The sequence below is a fragment of the Homo sapiens genome, chromosome 15 (genome assembly GCF_000001405.40).
Source record: "Homo sapiens chromosome 15, GRCh38.p14 Primary Assembly".
NCBI classification, from domain to species: domain Eukaryota; kingdom Metazoa; phylum Chordata; class Mammalia; order Primates; family Hominidae; genus Homo; species Homo sapiens.
In genome coordinates, this window is record NC_000015.10 from 27,507,784 (window position 1) to 27,529,908 (window position 22,125).

Here is a 22,125-nt window from a genome sequence, read left to right on the forward strand (position 1 = left end):
TTGTGTCTGTCTCTTCTTTCAGATCTGTCAGTTTTTGCATCATATATTTTGAATCTCTGTTGATAAGTACATACACATTAAAAATTATGTTCTGTTAGAGAATCCATCCTTTTATCATTATGTAACATTCCTTTTTATTCCTAAAAATAACCTTTGTTCTGAAGTCTACTCTGTTCAAAATTCATGTAACTACTCCAGCTTTCTTTTGCTTAATGTTGCATGGTATTCCTTTCTCTATTTTTTAACTTTTAACCTAAATATGCCTTTATACTTAAAGTGGCTTTTATGCAGCATATAGTTTAGTCTTGATTTTTATCCAAGCTGACAACCTGTGTGTTTCATCTGGGATGTTTAGATCATTAACATATAAAGTGATTATTGATAAGGTCAGATTAAAATATACGATCTCGCTCTCATTTGTAAAAACATATTCCAGCTGTTGTTTCCTTTCCCTCTTGCTACTTTGATTACATTTAATTAACAATGCTCCAATTTTGTTTTCTGTTTAGACTTATTGTGTATAACAATCTTTTAAAACTTTTTAGTTTTAAATAATCTGAGTTGACCTCCAAATAGTATTATGCTGATATATATGTAGTATAAAAACCTTTTAACAGTATATTCCCTATTACTTTCTTCCATCTCTTGTATAATTGCTATTATACATTTCATTTTTTCTTATGCTATAAACATAAAATATATTGTATATTTTTGCTTTAAACAGTTAACTTTTAAAGTCAATATTATCAAAGCATAAATACACTCATTTATTACATTTCCAACACTCTTCATTTCTTTGCATGTATGCAAGTTTCTGAATATATTATATTCCATATCTCTGAAGAACTTCCTTTCCATTTCTCGTTGATTAGATCTTCTGCCAATGAATTCCCTCAGTTTTTTTTGTTTTGTTTTGTTTTTGTTGTTGTTGCTGTTGTTGTTGTTGTTGAGATGGAGTCTCGCTCCATCACCCAGGCTGGAGTACAGTGGCGTGATCTCGGCTCACTGCAAACTCTGCCTCCCAGGTTCACGCCATTCTCTCACCCCAGCCTCCCGAGTAGCTGGGACCACAGGCACCCACCACCACACCCAGCTAATTTTGTTTCTTTGTATTTTTAGTAGAGATGGGGTTTCACCGTGTTAGCCGGGATGCTTTCAATCTCCTGACCTCCTGATCCGCCCGCCTTGGCCTCCTAAAGTGCTGGGATTATAGGCTTGAGCCACCGTGCCCGGCTGAATTCCCTCAGTTTTTGTTTTTCTGAGAAACTGTTTATGTCTATTTCACTTTTGGAAAGTGTTTTTACTGAGTTTCACTGTGGGTTTACTTTTTCTTTCAGAAACTTAAAGATTTTATTCCATTGTCTTCTTTCTTGCATGATTTCTGAAGAGAAGTCTGCTGTGAATCTTATCCTTTTTGCTCCTCTGGTGAGGGAAAAAGCAAAAAGCAAAAATGTATCTTTTTTTCCCTTGGCTGCTTCCAAAATGTTCCCTTTGTATCTGGTTTTCAGCACTTTTAATATGATATATGTAGTTGGGGGGTTTGTTATTTGTTTGTTTTCTTTTGATTCTGGCTGATATTTGAGCCTCTTGGATTTGTACTTTGGTGTCTGTCATTATTTTGCAAAATTCTCAGCCATTATTTCTTCAAATATATTGTTTTCTCTTCTTCTTTTGGAATTCAAATAATATGTATATTAGACAGTTTGTTATTTTTTCACAGCTCTTGGTTTCTCTGTCCTGATTTTTTAACTCATATTTCTCTTTTTGTTTTAGATTGGCTAATTTCTACTCACCTATAGTAAAGCTCACTGGGTCTTTCTTTGGCTATGATAAGTTTACTAATGTGCCTATCAAAAGCATGCTTAACCTCTCTTACTACATTTTTGATTTCTTGTACTTCCATTAGATTCTTTCTTATAATTTCCATTGATCTGCTAATTTCCATTATGCTAATTTCCATTGATTGACCAAATCACCTCTTTGGTCTTGCATGTTGCCTATTTCTCCATTAGAGCCATTAACATATTAAATAATTATTTAAATACCCTCTTTCCTATCTGGTTCTGTTCTTAGTAATTATTTTGCCTTTTCAGGCTGCTATTTTTGGTTTTTGTATGTCCCATAATTTTATCTGGAAGCTAGACATGTTTTATAGAATAGTAGATACTCAGATACATTTTATGTATGCTTAGAAATAAGCATGCCTTTCATTTTGCCCTGCTTTTAGTGTGAGGGTTCTTGCTTATGTAGTTAGAAGTTAAGCCAGGTTTGAAGTTGACTATCTGCTTGACTCCAGGTCCTGTGGCTCAGTTTTGACTCTTCCCCTTGCACTTTTCCCAGGGAACATCTGTCTCTTGCAGTCACCACCTGGACTACACTGCTGTTTTCATTCTATGCTTGTTGCGTGTGGGTGGTTGGATCAAGGGATGGTGAGATGTTATCTATGTTTGGAGTAAGGCTCAGTCTTAGGCATGATTTGTAAACCTAGTTCTTAGAGTGTGACCTTCCCAAGTGTTCCTGTGCCTTCTGCAGATGTAATGATGTTGGGCCCAACGGTACTGCCATCTCTCCCCCAGGGGTAGTGCTTGCTTGCTTTTCTACTCACATACACACAGCTGCAGTAGATTTCCACCATTCCCCTGTTGCACCAGTTTTTGTTGCCCTTCCCCCTGTGTACTGAGACATTTGCTTCACAGGGGACACAATGATGTGGACGTGGGTGGAGTTCTCACAATGAGTTCTGTCATCCTCTCCCAGGCGGCCCCATGGGGAGGCTTTCTCAGGATTCTCCTTTATCCTCCATTTAAAAAGATGGTGGTGTTCAGACTCAGCATTTAGTGATCAGATAGAAATTTCTAGCTGAATAAAGTTACTGAATTATATTATATTTGGTGGTGCCTGTAATTATCCTAAAGTTTCCTCCAGCACCTCATATGTAGACAATCATATTAACTGATTAACTTTTTACATTATATTTATACCTCAATTTGGCCAAGAATTACTTGTTCTAAAAACTATCCGTTACTTTACGGTTAAACAGGATTACGGGCATGAAGTTAAAAACTGATTGTAATAAAAATTAGCACTTTTTGTTTCAAAATATGTAATACTTTAAATATTTTTTTCTTGCAGTGGTCATAAAAGTGAATGGTAAGGATGTGGGTATAAACTCAACTCTTTATATATATAAAAACACTTGTGTGATTCTTCTTTTAAAAATGATGTAGTGTGCGATAGAGAAGATTTTTACCACACATTCCTCTCTGGAAACAATAGAATGCCAGAACACAAGTGAAAAGAAAAGGAAGAAAAAACAATTATCATTGACTGTAGGAAGTAACCACAAATCTGCCAATACAAGGAATAAAAGGAGCAAGGTAAATTAGTGACTAAATTAAAAGAAGCACCAAAAGCGCATGGAATTATCTACAATTCTTTTGTAAGGTGCAGAGTTTTGTAAACAATAGATGGGCCCTTCAAGAAACTTCTGACCTACCTAACACCGTGTATATGTGTGTGAGAGCTGGCTGGGGCAAGGAGGATGCAGTCTAGAGGAGCATCCCTGAGCCGTGTCCCCTCTGATAGCGAAAGGGAGGTGTTGGTGATGCTGAAGAAGGGACAGGCCCATTCCATGAATTAGGCAATTAATACATGAGTTACAAAAGAGATTAGCTATACTGCTACTAACCATGGAAAAGGAAACACTACATCACTATACCTACCCCTGTAGCTTATAAAGATCTTTTTAAATCCACACTGATATACTGCTCAACGCAAAATCCCAGGAGGTATGATGATGAGAAGATTAAAAGATCATTGAACAAACATTCACAGAAGGCCTACAAGAGCTCAGGAAGCAAAGAAAACGGACGAAGTGTCATCACGGAACTTGTATTCTATGGGGTAGAGGGAATAGATGATAAACAAGTAAATATGCATCTCATATATTTCAAGAGGATAAGTGCTACAGAGAGAAACAGAGCAGGGAAAGGGGTAACAGATTCCCACTGTTCATAGATCCATTGTGTCTCCAATGGCAAACCGTTCTTACTTTACACAGGTAGTCAATAATCTAATAGGGTCACATTTGGACAACTGAGTCAGTGAGGAAGTAAGCAACGCTGGAGATTTGTGGGAGGAACGTTCTAGCAACTAGAAATGCAAGAGCAAGGGAGCAAGATCAAGTGTGTGGGGGACAGCAGAAGGGACAGTGGGGCAAGAGCTGTTTCCTTGACTGGGAGGGAGCCCAAACCATGAAGGAGTTTGTAGTCCAAGCCACGCTCTTAGTATTAATCTCAATGAGATAGAAAGTCCCTGGAGTGAGCTTGGAAAGGCTTGATTTGACCCCTATTTTAAAAGGATTATGTTGGCTGTTAGATAGAAAATAATCTGCAGAAGGACAAATTAAGCAACGATTACAATTATTATTATATTGCAATAATATTATATTGTATTATTATTATTACAATAATCAAGTGCGATGTCATTGGTGCATTAGAGTAGTAAAATGTGGTTGGAATCTGAGCATGTTTAATGCATTTTTATGGAGTAAATATATAATATGAGGATAAGAGAAGAAGAAAGGCTGACTGTGAGGTTGAAGGTCAGAGCAACTAGGACAGAGTGAATGTTTGTTGAGCACAGTGCACTGCAGGTGGAGCTGCTTGTTACAGAGCAGGAGGCACGAGAAGCAGGACTCACGTGGCCTGTTGATTTTGAAATGCCTGTTATACCTGTATGGACACATTGAGATGATGCAAGGGTAGATGAGTCTAAAGTTCCCGAAAGTAGTCAACACTATGCAAAGCACTGATAGTATTTAAACTCCTGCAACTAGTTGAGATCCTCTAGAAAATTAAAGAATAGAAGGGAGAAGGTCTCCAGGCTGAGCCACTGGCACACTCACATATGGAGGTTGTGGAGAAGAAAAGAACTCACAAACAGGGCTCAGATACACTGCTCAAGGGCAAAGCCCAGGGGAGTAGATGGCCAGGGGCTCCAGAAACCTGCTGAGGCAACCCATTTGTGCTGAGTTGACCCCTGCAGGCACTATTCATACCCTAGGGCTGACCTCCAAAAAGTGCCCCCTGTCAACTTTAGTTAGAAATGCAAATGGGACCCATGCAGAGATTCCAAAGAAAGACAAAACGTAAAACACTACAAATGCTGATGGAGGACATGTATATTAAGAACATTCCAAACAAATACTTCCCTATGATCTTGGACCAAGTGAAGAAAATTTTAGCTCAAAACTGAAGTCACTCAAAAGAGGATAAAAGAAACATAGACAGAGATGAAAAGATGAGAGGAGATATCAAGCAGGCCAGGAGATATTTGGGGGAGGGAAGGAGAAGAAATAAAATCATAAAAAATGAAAGCCACGGACAGGCGCAGTAGCTCATGCCTGTAATCCCATCACTTTGGGAGGCCGAGGCAAGCAGATCACGAGGTCAGGAGATCGAGACCATCCTGGCTAACACGGTGAAACCCTGTCTCTACTAAAAAAATACAAAAACATTAGCCAGGCGTGGTGGTGGGCGCCTGTAGTCCCAGCTACTCGGGAGGCTGAGGCAGGAGAATGGCGTGAACCTGGGAGGCGGAGCTTGCAGTGAGCCAAGATGGCGCCAGTGCACTCCAGCCTGGGAGACAGAGTAAGACTCCGTCTCAAAAAAAAAGAAAAAAAAAATGAAAGCCACATTACAAGTAGCTGTTACAGAATCTAACCTGCTGATAATATTGTCAGGAATATGAAGAACAGGTTTAGTAATACCGAGGAATGCACTCAGTGAATAGTAAGAAAAAAATGATAGATGTGTAAATCAAACAGAGTACTCACAAACACATAATTAATGTTTGTGAGACGAGGAAAAGAATAAAACAAATAGGACAAACTGTTTAAAGGCTGTATTGGAAAAAAAATCCTGAAATGAAGGAAGACGTGAATCTGCCAACCAGGTCCCAGGAAAACAGGACACGAGACACATGTTAATAAAGTTATAACAAATCAGGAAGAAAGAAAAAAATTAAAACACGAACTTAAATATAAATGTAATGTAATTTAATTTAAATACATCATCCATAGCAACAGAAATATACATGTATCAAGAACTAAATCTAACAAAAGACTTGCCAAAGCTTTATGGAAGTAATTCAATATTTCATTGAAGGATATGCAAATTGAAATAGCTAAAACTTCATGATGACAAAAACTTTTTCTTAACTGCTGTACTTTCAGGCAGCTACACTGATTATCTAAATAAATGAGGATGCATAATTTATTCCAATCAAAATACCAACAGTGTTTATGAAAAATTTTTAAACTGATTCTACAATTTTATAAGCACAAAGACCGAAGAAGAGCCAAGGCATCCATGGAGAAGAATACAAAGATTGGCAGCTTCTGTACTTGTGACCAATGCTATTGTATTAGTTTTCCATTTCAGTTTAACAAATTGCCACAAACTTAGTAGTTTAAAACAAAACACATTTATGACCTTATAATTTCTGTGAATTAGGTGTGGCTTAGCGGGGAACTTTGTTTAGGCTCTTAGGGCTGCAATTAAGGAGTTGGCTGAGCTTCAGTCTCATCTGGAGACTTGACTGCAGAAGAATCAATTTCCAAACTCAAGTTGTGGACAGAATTATTATTCGCAGCTGTAGAGACCAGAGGACAGTCTCTCTCTTCATGAAAGGCTCAGTCTTTCTTTTAACATCTTTCACCTGATTAAGTCAGGGCCACCCAAGATAATCTTTCTTTGATTAACTTGAAATCAACAGATTTTGGGTCTTAATTACATTTGCAAAATTTATTCATCTTTGCCGTATAAAGAAATTCAATCAAGGGAGTTGATCCATTAAGTGAAACCAAATCAGGTTTTGCCCACACTCACGAGGAAGGAACAATACAACTATATGACTAACTGGGGTCACTTTAGGGTGTGTCTGCCACAGTTATGCTGATTAAGACAGTGTGGTTATGTGGCAGAATCAAAATGCACACACAGATTCATACAGATACGAACACACAAATAAAAGAGAGGTGGGCCTGCAGATGACTGGAAGTGGCAATAAATGATGGTGTAGCCACTAATCACAGAATTCAGAAAACTTGAATTGGAGAAGAAGTAATTGCATAGAAGGAAAACTAGGAGAAAAGCAAAACTTGTGTAAGGGAACTTAATGGTCCTGGGTTATTAAGGAACAAATTCTCAAGAATGACACAAATGGTATGAATGGTAAAATAAAAGGTTGATAAATTTAATTTCCCTAAAATTAGGAACTTCTTTTTTAATGTTTCTTAATTTTTTTGTTTTTTTTGAGACGGAGTTTTGCTCTCGTTGCCCAGGCTGGAATGCAGTGGCATTCCGAGATAGTTCTCGGCTCACTGCAACCTCTGCCTCCCAGGTTCAAGAGATTCTCCTGCCTCAGCCTCCTAAGTAGCTGGGATTACAGGCATCCACCACCACACCCAACTAACTTTTTGTATTTTTAGTAGAGACGGGGTTTCACCATGTTGGCCAGGTGGATTTTGAACTCCTGACCTCGGGTTATCCACCTAACCCGGCTTCCCAAATTGCTGGGATTACAGGTTGAGCCACCGCGACCGGCTGGAACTTCTTTTTATAAACAAATGTAATAAAGAGAAGAAAAAGACAAGTCACCTCAGGGCAAACTTGAAGAATAAGATGGAGAACATTAGGCTTTTTGGCTGAGCATTGCTTGCTAATCTCCAGGCCTCAGGTGGCTTTTCAGAGAGTATTAAGCTTAGGCAATTTTGAAAGGAAACCAGGCTGGATGTATCTGTAAGTTGGTGGGGTTGGGAGGATGGGCAAGAGATGGCCATGAGAAAGAGAGGAGATGGAGGGAAATAACAACGTTTAAAGGAGACTCAAAGGATGTTTTTGGTGCCAGAGATGCAATAAAGAAATGTGGTATCTATGGCATGAGTAAATAATGGTTTTGAAATAGTATACTCTGGGAATAATGCAATTACAAAAGATTCACCTAGTCCGTAGAGGAGTTGGAGTATTGAAAATATCTATATGAACTTCCAAACTTACCAATTAAATGGGATGATAAATTCAGGTGGGAACATCTTTAGAGCTCATACATTAGAAATACATTCTGTGAAGGGTTTTCCTTTTTTAAATTTTCTGTGAAGATCTCTTTCTGAAACTCGACTGGACTTTTAAAGCATAAGATGCTATGTTGCTGTCAAATTTCAAAACAGAAACCTAGAATTTAAAAATTGTAAATTTGCTTATATATTTGGTATTTTATTAATGTGGCCCACAAGATGTTATCTAGCAGCCGGTTAGCATTTTCAGAAAAAAAAAAAAACACCCCTACCAACTTCCTTTTTCAATAATAATTTATTATCTACCTACTGATTCATTAAAATAATAATTTTGCAAACATAAAGTTTAGTAAAATGAAGAAAAAGGTCTTTAAATGTACCATGTCCTTGTATTTTACAATAAACTAATTGTATGAAGTGTGAATAAAGAATAATTTTATGTTCTCTGAGAAACATGGAAATATACTTCAATATAGAGTCATTAAATGATACGACAAAGAAAATTTGTACACTTACTTCCTTTGGTGTTTCCAAGCCAGATTACCTCTGTTATTCCTACCCGTCAACCTATCTTTCTTCTGGGGATAAAGCCCCATCTTCTGGGAACTGCTCCTCCTTCCACAGCCAGCCTGGGAGCTGCCATGTTCTTACCTGAACCTGCCTCAGTTGAAGTTGATTTGTCCAAGATGGGCAGCAATCTAATCTAAGCCAATACAATCTTCTACACCACTGGTTTTATTTATCTGATTCTGACCTGTCTGAAATTGACCGTGTCAGAGGCTTTCTGAGAATGTGAACATGGAATCACTGAGAGCAAATAAATGCATGTCAGTCTCTCTCTGGTGGTGGGAACTACCAGATATGGAACTTACTAACTCTAAAATAAATGAATAAGTAAGTAAATAGAAAAGCCCCAACTAGTCCACTGTGACGTTTCAAAACATCATCCTGGGGCAAATTTTATTTCTATGTTTAATGCTAAAAAGCAATTATTGAGAATGGATTGCTATCTAATGAAATAAATAAAACAAGTATTTGGGATTGGAAATAACAAGTTTCAGGTCCTGACTTTCCTCTGAATATGAGCTGAGGAAGAAGTCATCTTCATGGGTCATTCTGCTGCCTCCTCCATCACTGACAGCATCGTGCACACCTCCAGTCATGCGCCTAGCACTAGGACTTTGGTGCCACTGCCTCCTCCATCACTGACAACATCGTGCCCACCTCCATGCATGCGCCCAGCACTGGGACTTTGACTAGTGCCGCCTCTATCATTGCCAGTATCATGCACTCCTCCACGCATGTGCCCAACACTGGGACTTTGTCTGAGGCTGCCTCCTCCGTCATTGCCAGTATCATGCACACCTCCATATTGTGCCCAGCACTGGGACTTTGTCTGATGCTGCCTCCTCCGTCATTGCCAGTATCGTGCACACCTCCATATTGTGCATACCTCCAGTCATGCACCCAACACTGGGACTTTCACTGGTGCTACTGCCTCCCTCCTGCAAAGCACCCATGTCTGGGAAAGGCAGAGCCTCAGTAGGATGACCATGGAAGCTAATAACCATGGATGCCCAGGTAGACTTCTGAATTAGGCAAGGGAGTATACTGAGCATAGGCATGGGGAGCTCCTCTCACCCCAGGCAGGGAGAAAGCAGGTGGATTTGCTGTAATAAATTGTGCGTCTTGTCTGGAGTTGTCTTTCTGTTTATCTTGTCAGTAACCTGCAGTGGTGATAAATGAAATTACTCTTTGGATGTTCCATTTGGACTCTGCATAACTCCTAGGGTGATTTATTGTCCTTTGTTTTTCTGTATGTTAGCTTGTTGGTTTATTCCTCTAGGGTTTTGATTGCAATTTTATGCCAAAAATTAATAGACATTAAGAATCACACATAATTCAAATCACATTTCCTTAGGAAATGATGTAATTTTAGCATTCACATTACATTAAAATATATACTTGTGCTCTTTTATTGCTTCAGGCTAATCATCCTAATTCCTTTGTACTGAAATACTAATTTGTTTAAATTTTTAAATGTTTCTTGGTAAATGATATCAAAGTTGATGTTTCTATCAACAACTCTAAATATTGCTACAACAGAATATTTCATCCTGCAAAAAATTCTAATTTATTGGGAGCATAGTTTTCATCTGAGACCAATACCATCTCCCTGTCAATCTTTTAAGTAAAAATGGGACTTTGGGCTGGGCGTGGTGGCTCATGCCTGTAATCCCAGCACTTTGGGAGGCCAACACAGGTGGATCACCTGAGGTCAGGAGTTCGAGACCAGCATGATCAACATGTGAAACCCCAACTCTACTAAAAATACAAAAAAAAAAAAAAAAAAAAAGAATTAGCCAGACGTGGTGGCACATGCCTGTAATCCCAGCTACTTGAAAGGCTGGGGCAAGAGAATTGCTTGAACCTGGAAGGCGGAGGTTGCAGTGAGCCAAGATTGTGCCATTGCACTCTAGCCTGGGTGACAAGAGTGAAACTCTGTCTCAAAAAAAAAAAAATGGGACATCAGTGATAGTCTTTTTCATTCAGCAAATATTAATTAATTTATTATGGTTAGCCAACGTTGGTAAACAAGAGAGACATATTCTATAAACCAACCAGTTTATTGGTTTTAAGATAGATATTGTACCAGTAATTATAGAAACAAATCCATCCAATTTATGGGAAGGTGTCAGGGAAGATTTCCTGGGGAAGTAAGTGATTTTTAAGCTAAGTGAGTGAATAGGAACTATCTAGATGCTGGGGAAATAAAAAGAAGAGCATGCTATGCAGATGGGAAGGAATTCAGAGGAGTGTGGGAAGGGTTTTGGCAAGTCTGAGGCCCTGGGTAGACAAGATGCCAAGAGTGTAGAGAGCACAGGGCAAGGAGTGTTTAATGCAGAATGATGTGGACCACATAAAAGTGTCACAGCTGTGCAAGGGCAGCTAATAAGGAGAAGGCTAAAATGATACTAGTGTTTTACAAAGTTCCTTTTGATGGCAGTAGGTAGAATGATTTAGAGCAAAAAGGACTGGTCATTAGGAGATAAGCTTGGATCTATGGCAGAAGGTGGTAGCTTGGACTAGATGGGGAAAGGATTTGAGAGCAATGGATCATATAGAACCATTGAGAAGAGAAAAGGAGGAGTCAGAGGTGGCTTTTTGGTTTCCTCTTTGAACAAGTGAGAGATGGACCTGAAAGAAGAGGAGGTATTGGCACGGGGAAGGTGATAGTTCAGTTCTGGACATGGTGGATTTCGGGCACTGGATGACTGAATCCAGCAGGCTAAAGGGGTGGAGGATTCAAATGGGGAGGATGAGGATGAGGAGATAATCTCAGCAAGAGGTGGCCTAGACAAGAAATCAATGGAGATGCTTTGGGGAGAAAATGTACAATGTATTAAGCATGCACCCTCTTTCAAGCCCCCGGGGGATCTTATGGAATCTCTAGTCACATCTGCATTGCTCCCAACTTCTTTATGGTGTGGTTCTGCTTTGGTAGAAGAGAGTGGAATGTCAGGAAATGATTACTCCTTTTTGTTTCTGGGTTGGCACAGCTTAAGTCCTGGGTTACAAAAGGATCAGATAAATATACATACATTAATTAAAACAAAGTGCGAAGTTGATAAGCAAAACTTAAAGATATAAATAAATAAAAATATAAAATGGTTACACAAGTTTATGTAAGATATGATAGCTTTGTTGTCATTGGAAAAGCATCCCTTAAAATGACCCTGGGTCTGTTTGAGGGTTGAGTTTACCTGTTACTCTTGAATTTAATTGTACAACCTATGGAAGGACTCAAGTGATAATAGCTCATCAACTCATGGCCTGTCGTGGAAGAGATCTGCATGTGTTCTCACTCTATCCGTGAATATGTTCGTTTTGTGCCCTTTACACTGACCGATTAAATGCCTGGTACAGCCATGGTTACTATGAAAATTAAGTTTAAGAAAACCAGCATTTTGATCCATTTCCTGATTTGATATTGTTGTAGTTGTGCATTTTTATCCAAGTCATTCACTTAACAAAATAAATTGTAAATTATTTTCCTGAATTATTTTTGACCCATCAAAGTTGTCTTAATTTTGACAATATTTTATTACAGGTGATTATGTTGTCATGACTATATATTTTGAATTGAGTAGAAGAATGGGATACTTCACCATTCAGACATACATTCCCTGTATACTGACTGTGGTTTTATCCTGGGTGTCATTTTGGATCAAAAAAGATGCTACGCCAGCAAGAACAGCATTAGGTGAGTTTCAAAAAATCTCTTCCACAAATTTGCGTAATTGTAATATAGAAGCATTCATAAAAAATACCTTCAATGTAAAAGACTATTTAAATGTGAATGATCTCATTTGAGGGTGACTTGAACCATGCTTAGAATTTTCTCTTAAGAAGCCAAGCAAGGCTGTTCTTTCTCACAATGGGATTCTATGTATGCCACTTAAATCAAGACGGCGTAGGAGATTCACAGTAAATCCATTGTGATAGTATCCTGTATCACAGGCTGATATGATCACAAAAACACAGGCACATCCCAGAACCTGTCAACTCAAAAGTCCCCATACGTTAATGTCAGGAAACAGAATTTGCCACACACCTCTGAGGACTGAAGACATAGTATTGGTAAAAAATAGTTGATCAATAATTGAAGCTCTGCTTGTATATAGCAACTTTATCAGCAAACGAGAAAATGATCATTCTTTTCAGCTGTGAGCACACACTAAAACTCAGTCTTTTCATGAATTTTTCTCTGGTTCCCAAAATCTTCTTAATAAAACACTAACTTTCAGTAGTTTTAGAACTGTGCAACGTGTATTATGTCAGGTTTCCTTTCTGACAGGAATTTTGCTTAACTTTCAATGTTTTGATTTTTTGAAGGCAGGTAATATATAAGACTGAATATAGAGATTGTTTTCCCCTAAAAAAAATCCTATAGAAAAGAGGAAGCTGTCTCAATTTCAAATTTCTGCAACATCTCTCATATTTGCATTGTTATTTCTCTGTGTTTTTTTTTTATTTGTTTGTTCAAGAACAAAGCACTGGGCCTGGGTAGACCAGATGCCAAGAGATTAATTAGCCTGTAATATCCTCTACCTATACTAGATTTGCATGCTTATAGAAAATACGTGGTAGAATTGTAGGCAAATCAACACAGATTTCGTGACTAACCCTTGGGGTTATGGCTTCATAGTTACATATATTAGATGTCACTGTACACAAGACATCTAAAGATAAGCTTCAAAGTGATATAATATATAACTATGTTTGTACAAATTGAGACTATGAAAATCCTACAGAGAATAGTTGTTCTGGGCTCAAGACACAGAAGCTAGAATTTCACGGTGCAGTCAGATAATAAATTTATAGCCAGAAGAATTGAGGAACTTTATTAACAATAAGATGTTTAGTTTAGACACCAAAAAGTCTGTGCCTAGAAATAAAGGGGGTACCCTAGACGTCCTTTAATGAAGCTTGAACCAAGCAATAACAAGATCAAGGAGAACCATCAGTAAATTAACTGTTTGTCAGAAGAATTCAAAGAGCTTCTTAAAAAGATAATATAGTGCAGACTCTTTACATTGTAAGGAGTTATAATAAGAACTTATTAGACATTCTAAGATGTAGAAAAATGTTACCCATGATTACAAAGAAAGAAGGATTAATAAAAAGCAAAGAGAAGTCTATTGCTGACTCAGTAGGCATGGACTTTAACAACAGCTATTATAACAATGAAGACTTAAAGGATAATATGATTTTAATTAATGAATAGATGGGTTATCTCATCACAGAAAGTATATAAAAAGAAATTCTAGAGTGAAATGTATAATATCTTGATTGAAAAATTCACTAACTAGACTTAAGAGCAGATTGAAGATGGCAGAAATAAAAGTTTATATAAAATTGAAGACCACCAGATGAAATTTATCTAATCTGAAGATCAAAGGAATAAAAGATTAAAAAGAAAGAAGTCCCAGTGACCTGTGATACAATATGAATATGCATAACATAACTATAACTGACTATAACTGAGGTGATAGTTAAAAGCAGAATAAGAAGAGAAAAAGAATGAGGACAAATATTTTTGAAAACAAGTGGTTAAGAAATTCCAATGTTTGGTGAAAAACATCAGCCTACAAATTCAAATAGCTTAGTGAGATACAAGTAAGATAAATACGAAGAAAACCATCATAGTCCAAATGATGACAATCAAAAATAAAGAGAATACTTGAAAGTAGATAAATAAAAATGTCCTGTCATGTGGATGAGCAAAAATATGACTGACTGATTCTTCATGTGCAATAATGGAGACCAGAAGATAGTCAGTTGCCATCTTTAAAGTACTGAAATTCTATATCCAGAGAAAATATACTTCAAAAATTTCATCAGAATGAAGATTTTTTTAGATAAACAAAATCTGTGCTAATTTATCACAGAAAATCTAAAACCATAGTGAAAATTCTAAAGCAAGCTAATTAGGTTAATAGAAATAATCAATAGAAAAATGGATTTACAAGAAGTAATGAAAAACATCAGAAATGGTAAGTGTGCGGTGAAGTTTAAAAAAAACTAGTTTTCTATTTTTATTCTTTCAATTAAAGTGAAAATAATAATATTGCAAGATGGGACTTATGACATCAGAAAAAATAAAATGTAAGCCATAAATAGCAATGAGGTTGGGGGACATATGGAACTATGTTCCTATGTGGTATAAAAATGGGTGAAGTAATTCTAAAAAAATTCTAAGTAGATATATTAAGAAATCTTATTGTAATCTGTTAAAAATGTATGAAAATATAGTAAAAAGCATAGCTAAGAATTCAATGTAGAAATAAATAGGAGCATATAATAATAATAAAAGGGTAAATTCAACAGAAAGACAAAACATTCATAAATGTGCCTGTGCCTAGTATTAGAGCTTCATATTAAAAGCAACAAAAACTGAGAAGAGGATAAATTTTTAAAATCAATCACAGTTTGATATTTAAATATACTTCTATCAGCAGTGTACACAAACAAGCACATTTGTCCACTTATTTAAGTGATTAAACCAGTCAACAACCAAAAAGCCAGTAAAGGAATGGAGGATCTGAACACCAATATCAATGTCCTTGAGCTATTGGATATTACAGAACTCTGCACCTAATAATTACATCATGAAAGTGAATTTCAATATCCACCTCCTGCCATACACAAAAAATTACTTAAAATGGATTATACTCAAATGGTAAAACTAGAAATGTTAAATTTCTAGAAAAATGTTAGGATTATATTAGATTAGATAAAGATTTCTCAGACCAGAAAGTGAATCTTAGGTGAGGAAAACTTTAAAACATTTCTGACATGAAAACACACTTGAATAGATATTTCATGTTATTAGATAAAAAGAAACATCATGAAGATTTGTGGTTTTGTATTTATATAAAATAAATACATTTTTACAATGAATAGCATCTTTCTCCTCTTTTTATGCATTTGATATGCAGAAATTTTAATTTAATTTATTAGTCTTTATATTAATATTTTTGTTCTAAATATGTTGTAAATATGACTACTTTAAAGATTTTCTATATAATATTTTAGTCTGATAAAATTATACCAGAAATGTCCAGGATACAATAAAATATCACTCATCATATCAAAAAGAAAATGCCAAAATCAAGATGACACAGTTGTTAGAATTATCTGACTAGGATTTTAAAATAATCAGTCATAAATGTGCTTCAATGAGCGAATGCACACATGCTTCAACTAAATGAAAAAATAGAAAAGCTCCACAAAGAAATAGAGGATATAAAGAAGAACTCAATGAAATTTTTAGAACTGAAAAATACAATGCCAAAATGAAAAACTCACTGGATGTGCTTAACAAAAGAAGATAAGACAGAGGAAAGAATCAGTGAACCATGAGATAGAACAACAAAAATTTACCAATCTGAGCAACAGAGAGGGAATATATTGAAAAAAATAATAATCAACTGAGTTTAGGGATATCTTCAAATGTTGACACAAATATTGGAGAGGGAAATGATCCAACATTTGTGTCACTGGAGTTCCAGAAAAAGAGAAATAGAATGGGGCTAAAAAAAATATTCAAAGAAACAATGGATAAAAAATACTCAAATTTGCCAAAAGGCATAAATCTAGAGATCCAAGAAGCTGAATTAATCCCAAATAGGTTAAATCCAAAGAATGTTAGGTAAAGACACATCATAATCAAACTCTTAAAAACTGAAGAAAAATTATTAAGAGTAGCAAAGAAATGTCACCTTGCCTATATAGAAAAAACAAATTGAATGACAATGGATTTCTCATCCAAACCATGGAGGCAAGGAGGAAGTAGCACAGCATTTTTTAATGCTGAATGGAAATAATAGTCAACCCAGAATTCTATACCCAATGAGAGTATCATTTAAGAATAAAGGAGAAATCCATTCTCGGACAAAGAAGAACAAAGAGAATTTGTCACTAGCAGATGTCCCCTAAAATGATGGCTAATGGAATTTCTTGAAATAGAAAATGATGAGAAGAAATTTTTAACAAAAGAAATAAAGAAAAAATACAAAAAGTGAAAATATGGGCAAGTAAAATGGACTTTCCTTTGCCTTTTGAGTTTTCTAAATTACTTATAATGGTTGAAGCAAAAAATCATAATGCTACTTGATGTAATTACTAAACTAATTAAAGGAAATATTTAAGACAATTATATTAAAATCAAGGAAGAGTAAGGGGAAATAAAGTTTCTACATTTCAGTCACATTGGTAAAATGTTAAATATGCTAAATTATGTATTTATAATACTGGAGGAACCACTAAAAAGGCTACAAAGAGTGACACGCCTCAAAAACACTGTAGGTAAAGCAAAATCAAGTTCTAAAATATGTTGAGATAACCCATGGGAAGGCAGGAAAAAGAAAACAATATATTATAAAGGAACAAACAAACAGGAAACACAATATAAAATGGGATAGTTACATCTTAAATATTAATAACTACATTCAATGTAAATTGCTGGAACGTACCAGTAAAAAAGCAGAAATTAGCAGAGAGGATTAAAAAAATAAAGCATGATCCAACTACAATGTGTCTCCAAGAAAGTCACTTGAAATAGGATGACATTATTACACTGACATGAATGTTCATGTAATCACCAGGAACTGGAAAGAACCAAAATATCCCGCAACAAGTGAAAGGCTAACGAAACTATGGAACACCCAAACCATGAAATACTACTCAGCAGTAGGAAAGAACAAACTATCGATGAAGCAGCAGTTTAAATGTGTCAAGGGCATTGTGCTGAATGAAAAAAAAACAAAGCCAATATCAAAATGTGTTATTTTAGTTTGTGTTTAAATTAGGAGGTTTACTTCTGACTGCAGTAAGATGCCAGGATTTATATTCACTCATCCCTCCAAAGTCAAGAAGAAAGTTGTTCTAGGATTCTGTGAGACCAGAATCATCCCCAAAGCATCCTATATGTACTAGACTCAGCTGAGATAACCTTCCTGAAGTCCTTTGTGCTTTCCCCAAAGAGGAAGTCATGCCAACAGGTGTTTTTGCAGAGCACTCTTCTTTACTAGGTAGCTTAGATCCCTGAACTAAATAGAAATGCCTAAGGTTTATTTTTCTTCAGCAGGGTGAAGTTTCAGGGTGGGGGTGGAAGTGGGGAGGATAAAGCACACGGCCATTGCCTACATCTGGAATACAGGCCACTCATGACAACTGATGGACAAGGTCTATGGAAATTACAGACACAAACAGTTTGTATTTCTATTGAAATAGAAGCTAAGATTTTGAACTTCTTCTTAGACATGATGTGGTCACATTTTTAAAAGCTGAATTGGATGTTTATTAAAAGAGGATAATGGCTTCCAGCTTCATCCATGTCCCTGCAAAGGACATGATCTCATTCTTTTTTTGGCTGCATAGTATTCCCTGGGGGAGAACATTAGGGAAAAGAGCTAATGCATGCTGGGCTTAATACCTAGGTGATGGGTTGATAGGTGCAGCAAACCACCATGGCACATGTTTATGTAATAAACATGTACATTCTGCACATGTTCCATAGAACTTAAAAAAGTAAATAAAATAATTTTTTTCTAAAGAGCTTTTTCCATAAAACTACATCTGACATAAGTATAGACTTTTCCAGTTTACATAGCGTTTTTACATGAAATTTTACCACCTATATTAAAGAGTGCCTGGCATTCTATTTTCACTGCACAAGTTAAGGAAACTGATTCAAAGATGGTAAGTGACTCCTCATGGCCAAATGCTGAGAAGGCCCAGAGCAAGGTGGAGGGCTTGGATTTTCAGGTGATACTCTTTACACCTCTACAAGCTGTCCACCCCATGCTTTGAGACCCATTCTCCACCTGGCCCTGGCAGAACTGCCTTGAGTAGATGCAGGGAGGAATTAAACAGAGGCCGTGATGCTGCAGCAAAGGTGGAAAGTAATGTGTCCTCATCTGTCCTGTGTACCTACTCTCTGACTAGTACTGCGATGCAGATATTTTACTGTAGTCCCATTGAGCTACAGAGGTGGTGACTGTTAAAATTCAGATTCCTGTGATTCTGGGGCCCATGAATCTGGGGTCACTAACCTTCCCTGTCTAGTAGTCCTGACAGGTCCTGATTTCTTGGGAAGACTCGGGAGAGTCAGTCTTAGCCTGTTTCACATGATAATCACTCTTCTTCATTTTATTCTTATGTTCAATAGTCTCCATGTCTTTTTTCATGTTTTCCCTTCTAAGCTATCCATCTCGTGTGTGTCTGTGTCTCTTTTCTGAATGTTTTCCACAATATTTGCTTAAACATCCAGTGTTGACCCATGCATATAAAATAGTCTAAGTCAAACCAACATTGAGTATTACCAATTAATTGATTCATTCGATGCAAATCATTCATTTAAATGCCTCAAATGTGCTAGCGTCTGTGCTGGGGGACAAGCAAACAAAGACAAGTAAGGGACTGTTTTTGTCTTAAAGACCACACAATCTATCTAGGAGACAGGTATGTAAAGACATATGCGATTCCCTGTGATAATGAAAACAAAAAAAGCTGAGATAGTAGAAGGTACAGGGATACTGCAGATGTGCATGTTGTCAGCTCTGCGTGGAAGGCAAGAGTGGTGCTGGAGCCGGGTCTTCAAGAATAGTGAGGGTTTTCAAACTGGGGAGGTGAGGAGAAGTCAGAAATAAAAGGATTTAGCTGGGCAGAAATGTGAGGTGTGGAACAGCACGGAACATATAGGACTGCCAAAAAGAGCGTCTACGTTAAAAATTACCAACAATGAGCGAATTACTGAATGAATTGAAAGGTGTTGATTTGATTCAGGCACTTTAATGTTATTGTGAAGACTATAATAAGAAATTTCATTGAAACATTGCTTATAAAATTGTATGGACATTAAAATTCAAAGTAACATTACATGAGGTATGCAGCATCAGGGATTCCTGTAAGGCAGCCGTGCTGGGGTGGAGGGATGTGGGTGACCGTCTGGGATTCCTGTTGCGTGTTGCACCCTTTTACAACATGCTACCCGTCCCCTGTTCAGGCATCACCACGGTGCTGACCATGACCACCCTGAGCACCATCGCCAGGAAGTCCTTGCCACGCGTGTCCTACGTGACCGCCATGGACCTTTTTGTGACCGTGTGCTTCCTGTTTGTCTTCGCCGCGCTGATGGAGTATGCCACCCTCAACTACTATTCCAGCTGTAGAAAACCAACCACCACGAAGAAGACAACATCGGTGAGCTGCAGTAGCAAAGGTTCTCCGGGAGGTAATGGGGGCGCTGTTTGAGATGAGTGTGTACTTAAATGCAGTTGTATTCCTAAGGATCGTACAAAGCATGATACAAATACCCAGTTCAACAAGACTTTTCAAAACCAGACAGGGATTCTGAAGATGTGAATGTGACTCTAAGACATCTCTGGTGTCACCTACCGGTGACGTGGCTTGGTTTAGTCATACCCTAAAGATTGCTCTTAAGAGTGATCTTGGATGCAAATGTTCATGACAGTTTCCTAGTTATTTTTTCTTCTTTTCTTGTAGTTACTACATCCAGATTCCTCAAGATGGATTCCTGAGCGAATAAGCCTACAAGCCCCTTCCGTACGTATAGCATTGCAGGTGCCAATATTTCTGAGAACTTTCACTAAACTAAGATTGCATTTGAAAGATAGATTGCTGTTGATGCATGCATGTATTGAAGACCAATGAGTGATGCACATGCTGACTTCAAAAATGTGTTTAGTATTAGGTTAAAAATCCAACTTTGACAATTTGGAAATTAGAGGAGAAAAGTAATCATAATCCTTCTACATGGGGATTAGTGTATGGCATATATAGTTCTGACTCTTTTAGCCATTCAAATAATATAGGTTCATGCATTTTAGCAAAACTGAATTATGATCTTTATATTGTTTTATAGCCTCTTTTATAACTCAAAAATATGTACTTATATGTACTTAAGTTTTGTGCCACAAATATTATTTTATAGGATCATTTTAATGACCATATCATATGCTCATGATTGATGCACAAGCAATCTTGGCAGGACACTGGGCTTATCCACATTTTTCACTTGCATTTACATTCTTTTCACTACCAATTTGTATATACCTGTGACTATTTATTTGGTTATAAATTCCTAGGAGCAGAATGTTTGGGCAGAGGCGTTGCATGGTCTTTGCCAAATAGCACTCCACCAGCTCCATCAGCAATGCCAGACACCTCATCCCGAACTTTCCCTGCATTCAGTTTGGTAGTCACGCAGGAAAATGAGCTCTGCAAACTTTTCCCATTGGCATTTCTTTGACTATTGACAATATTGTCACTCGTTTATTTTTGATTTGCATTTCCATTTTTGGGAATTGCTTTTAAATATTTTTTAACTTTCATTAGTATTTTAAGGTAGCAATCTGACAGTGGTGTATATGTTACATATTATATAAATTGTATTTTATAAAATATATAATTTATATAGTCACATATAGGATATATTCATGATATTAATGTTTGTCATGTGGTTTTTATTCCAACTTGAATTGGCAACATTGCCACTATCCTATTTTGTGCCTTTCTCTATGTGTATTATTTTGTTTCATGTGGTCAAATCTGTTAGTGTTTTCTTTTGTAGTTTCTGCTTCTTGTGTTCTGCTTTGGAAGGTCCTTCCTACCCTCAAAATGACATGACCACCCTCACTTTCTTTTGAGCACTATGCTTGACATTATGTTCTCTGTGTTTTCATGTATCAACTCACTTTATTCTCACAACAAACCTTTCTACAAATGAGGAAATTAAAGTGTGGATAAATTAAGCCCTATAAATATTGACCAAGGTTTGACAATTTAAAAACAAATTTGTTACATTTAACTATTAACAAGTCCGAATTTCTTTTGGCTAGAGGGTAGAGTGTAGCTTTACTGAAAAATCGAGAAACATATTTTTAAATTAATGATGTGAACAACTTTTATCATATAACAACTTTTATTTACAATAATGACTTTTATTCCTTTATACATATGTATACTAATTACAATTTACTAATTAAATCGAATGTTTCAAGCCCCCCCATAAGCCGCAGGTGGTTTCCTACTTGCTAATCAGGACCTCATATGCAGTGCCAGGTGGTTTGCTACTTGTTAATCGGGACCTCATATGCAGCGCACTTCCAGCCCATTGTCAGGAGACTACATAGTTATCTGCACTCTGCAAGTGTGGATCGTGATAGTTCTTCCAGAACGTTAGTGGGCAAATCACTGTTACAGCTGCGGGGAGCTACAGAGAACATAACAGATTTTGCCAACAAATGCTTCCAAGTGGCGTGGGACCAAAACAGAGGGGAGAGGGGAAGGGTGCACATCATCACACATAGCCAGCACCTGGGTGTTGAAAGAAGGAGAGAAACATTGACCTCTTTAGTACAGAAATGATGCTGCCAAAAGAAGAAAAAAAATCCTTTAACACAGACAGAAAAAGATATTATCACAAAATGAGCAGAAAATTAAAAAAAAAAAAAAAAGAG

General features: G+C 36.9%; 1 protein-coding gene across 1 annotated transcript in view, besides 1 other annotated feature; it reads left to right on the forward strand.

Annotated features, from left to right (window-relative positions):
- The window catches only part of GABRG3 (gamma-aminobutyric acid type A receptor subunit gamma3), a 570,804-nt gene that overhangs the window by 536,603 nt on the left and 12,076 nt on the right, over window positions 1-22,125 (forward strand). Inside the window, exons 7-9 of the mRNA NM_033223.5 lie at window positions 12,189-12,341; window positions 19,650-19,846; window positions 20,150-20,209. Of these exons, the coding sequence (NP_150092.2) occupies window positions 12,189-12,341; window positions 19,650-19,846; window positions 20,150-20,209 (410 nt within the window). The remainder of the gene's footprint in view (window positions 1-12,188; window positions 12,342-19,649; window positions 19,847-20,149; window positions 20,210-22,125) is intronic.
- Window positions 4,794-5,375: an enhancer, noted in NCBI's record as "NANOG hESC enhancer chr15:27757723-27758304 (GRCh37/hg19 assembly coordinates)". NCBI's record gives its function as "activates a minimal SCP1, AML or CMV promoter by ChIP-STARR-seq in naive H9 embryonic stem cells {active_cell/tissue: H9 hESC(naive)}" and the evidence as "EXISTENCE:reporter gene assay evidence [ECO:0000049][PMID:30033119]".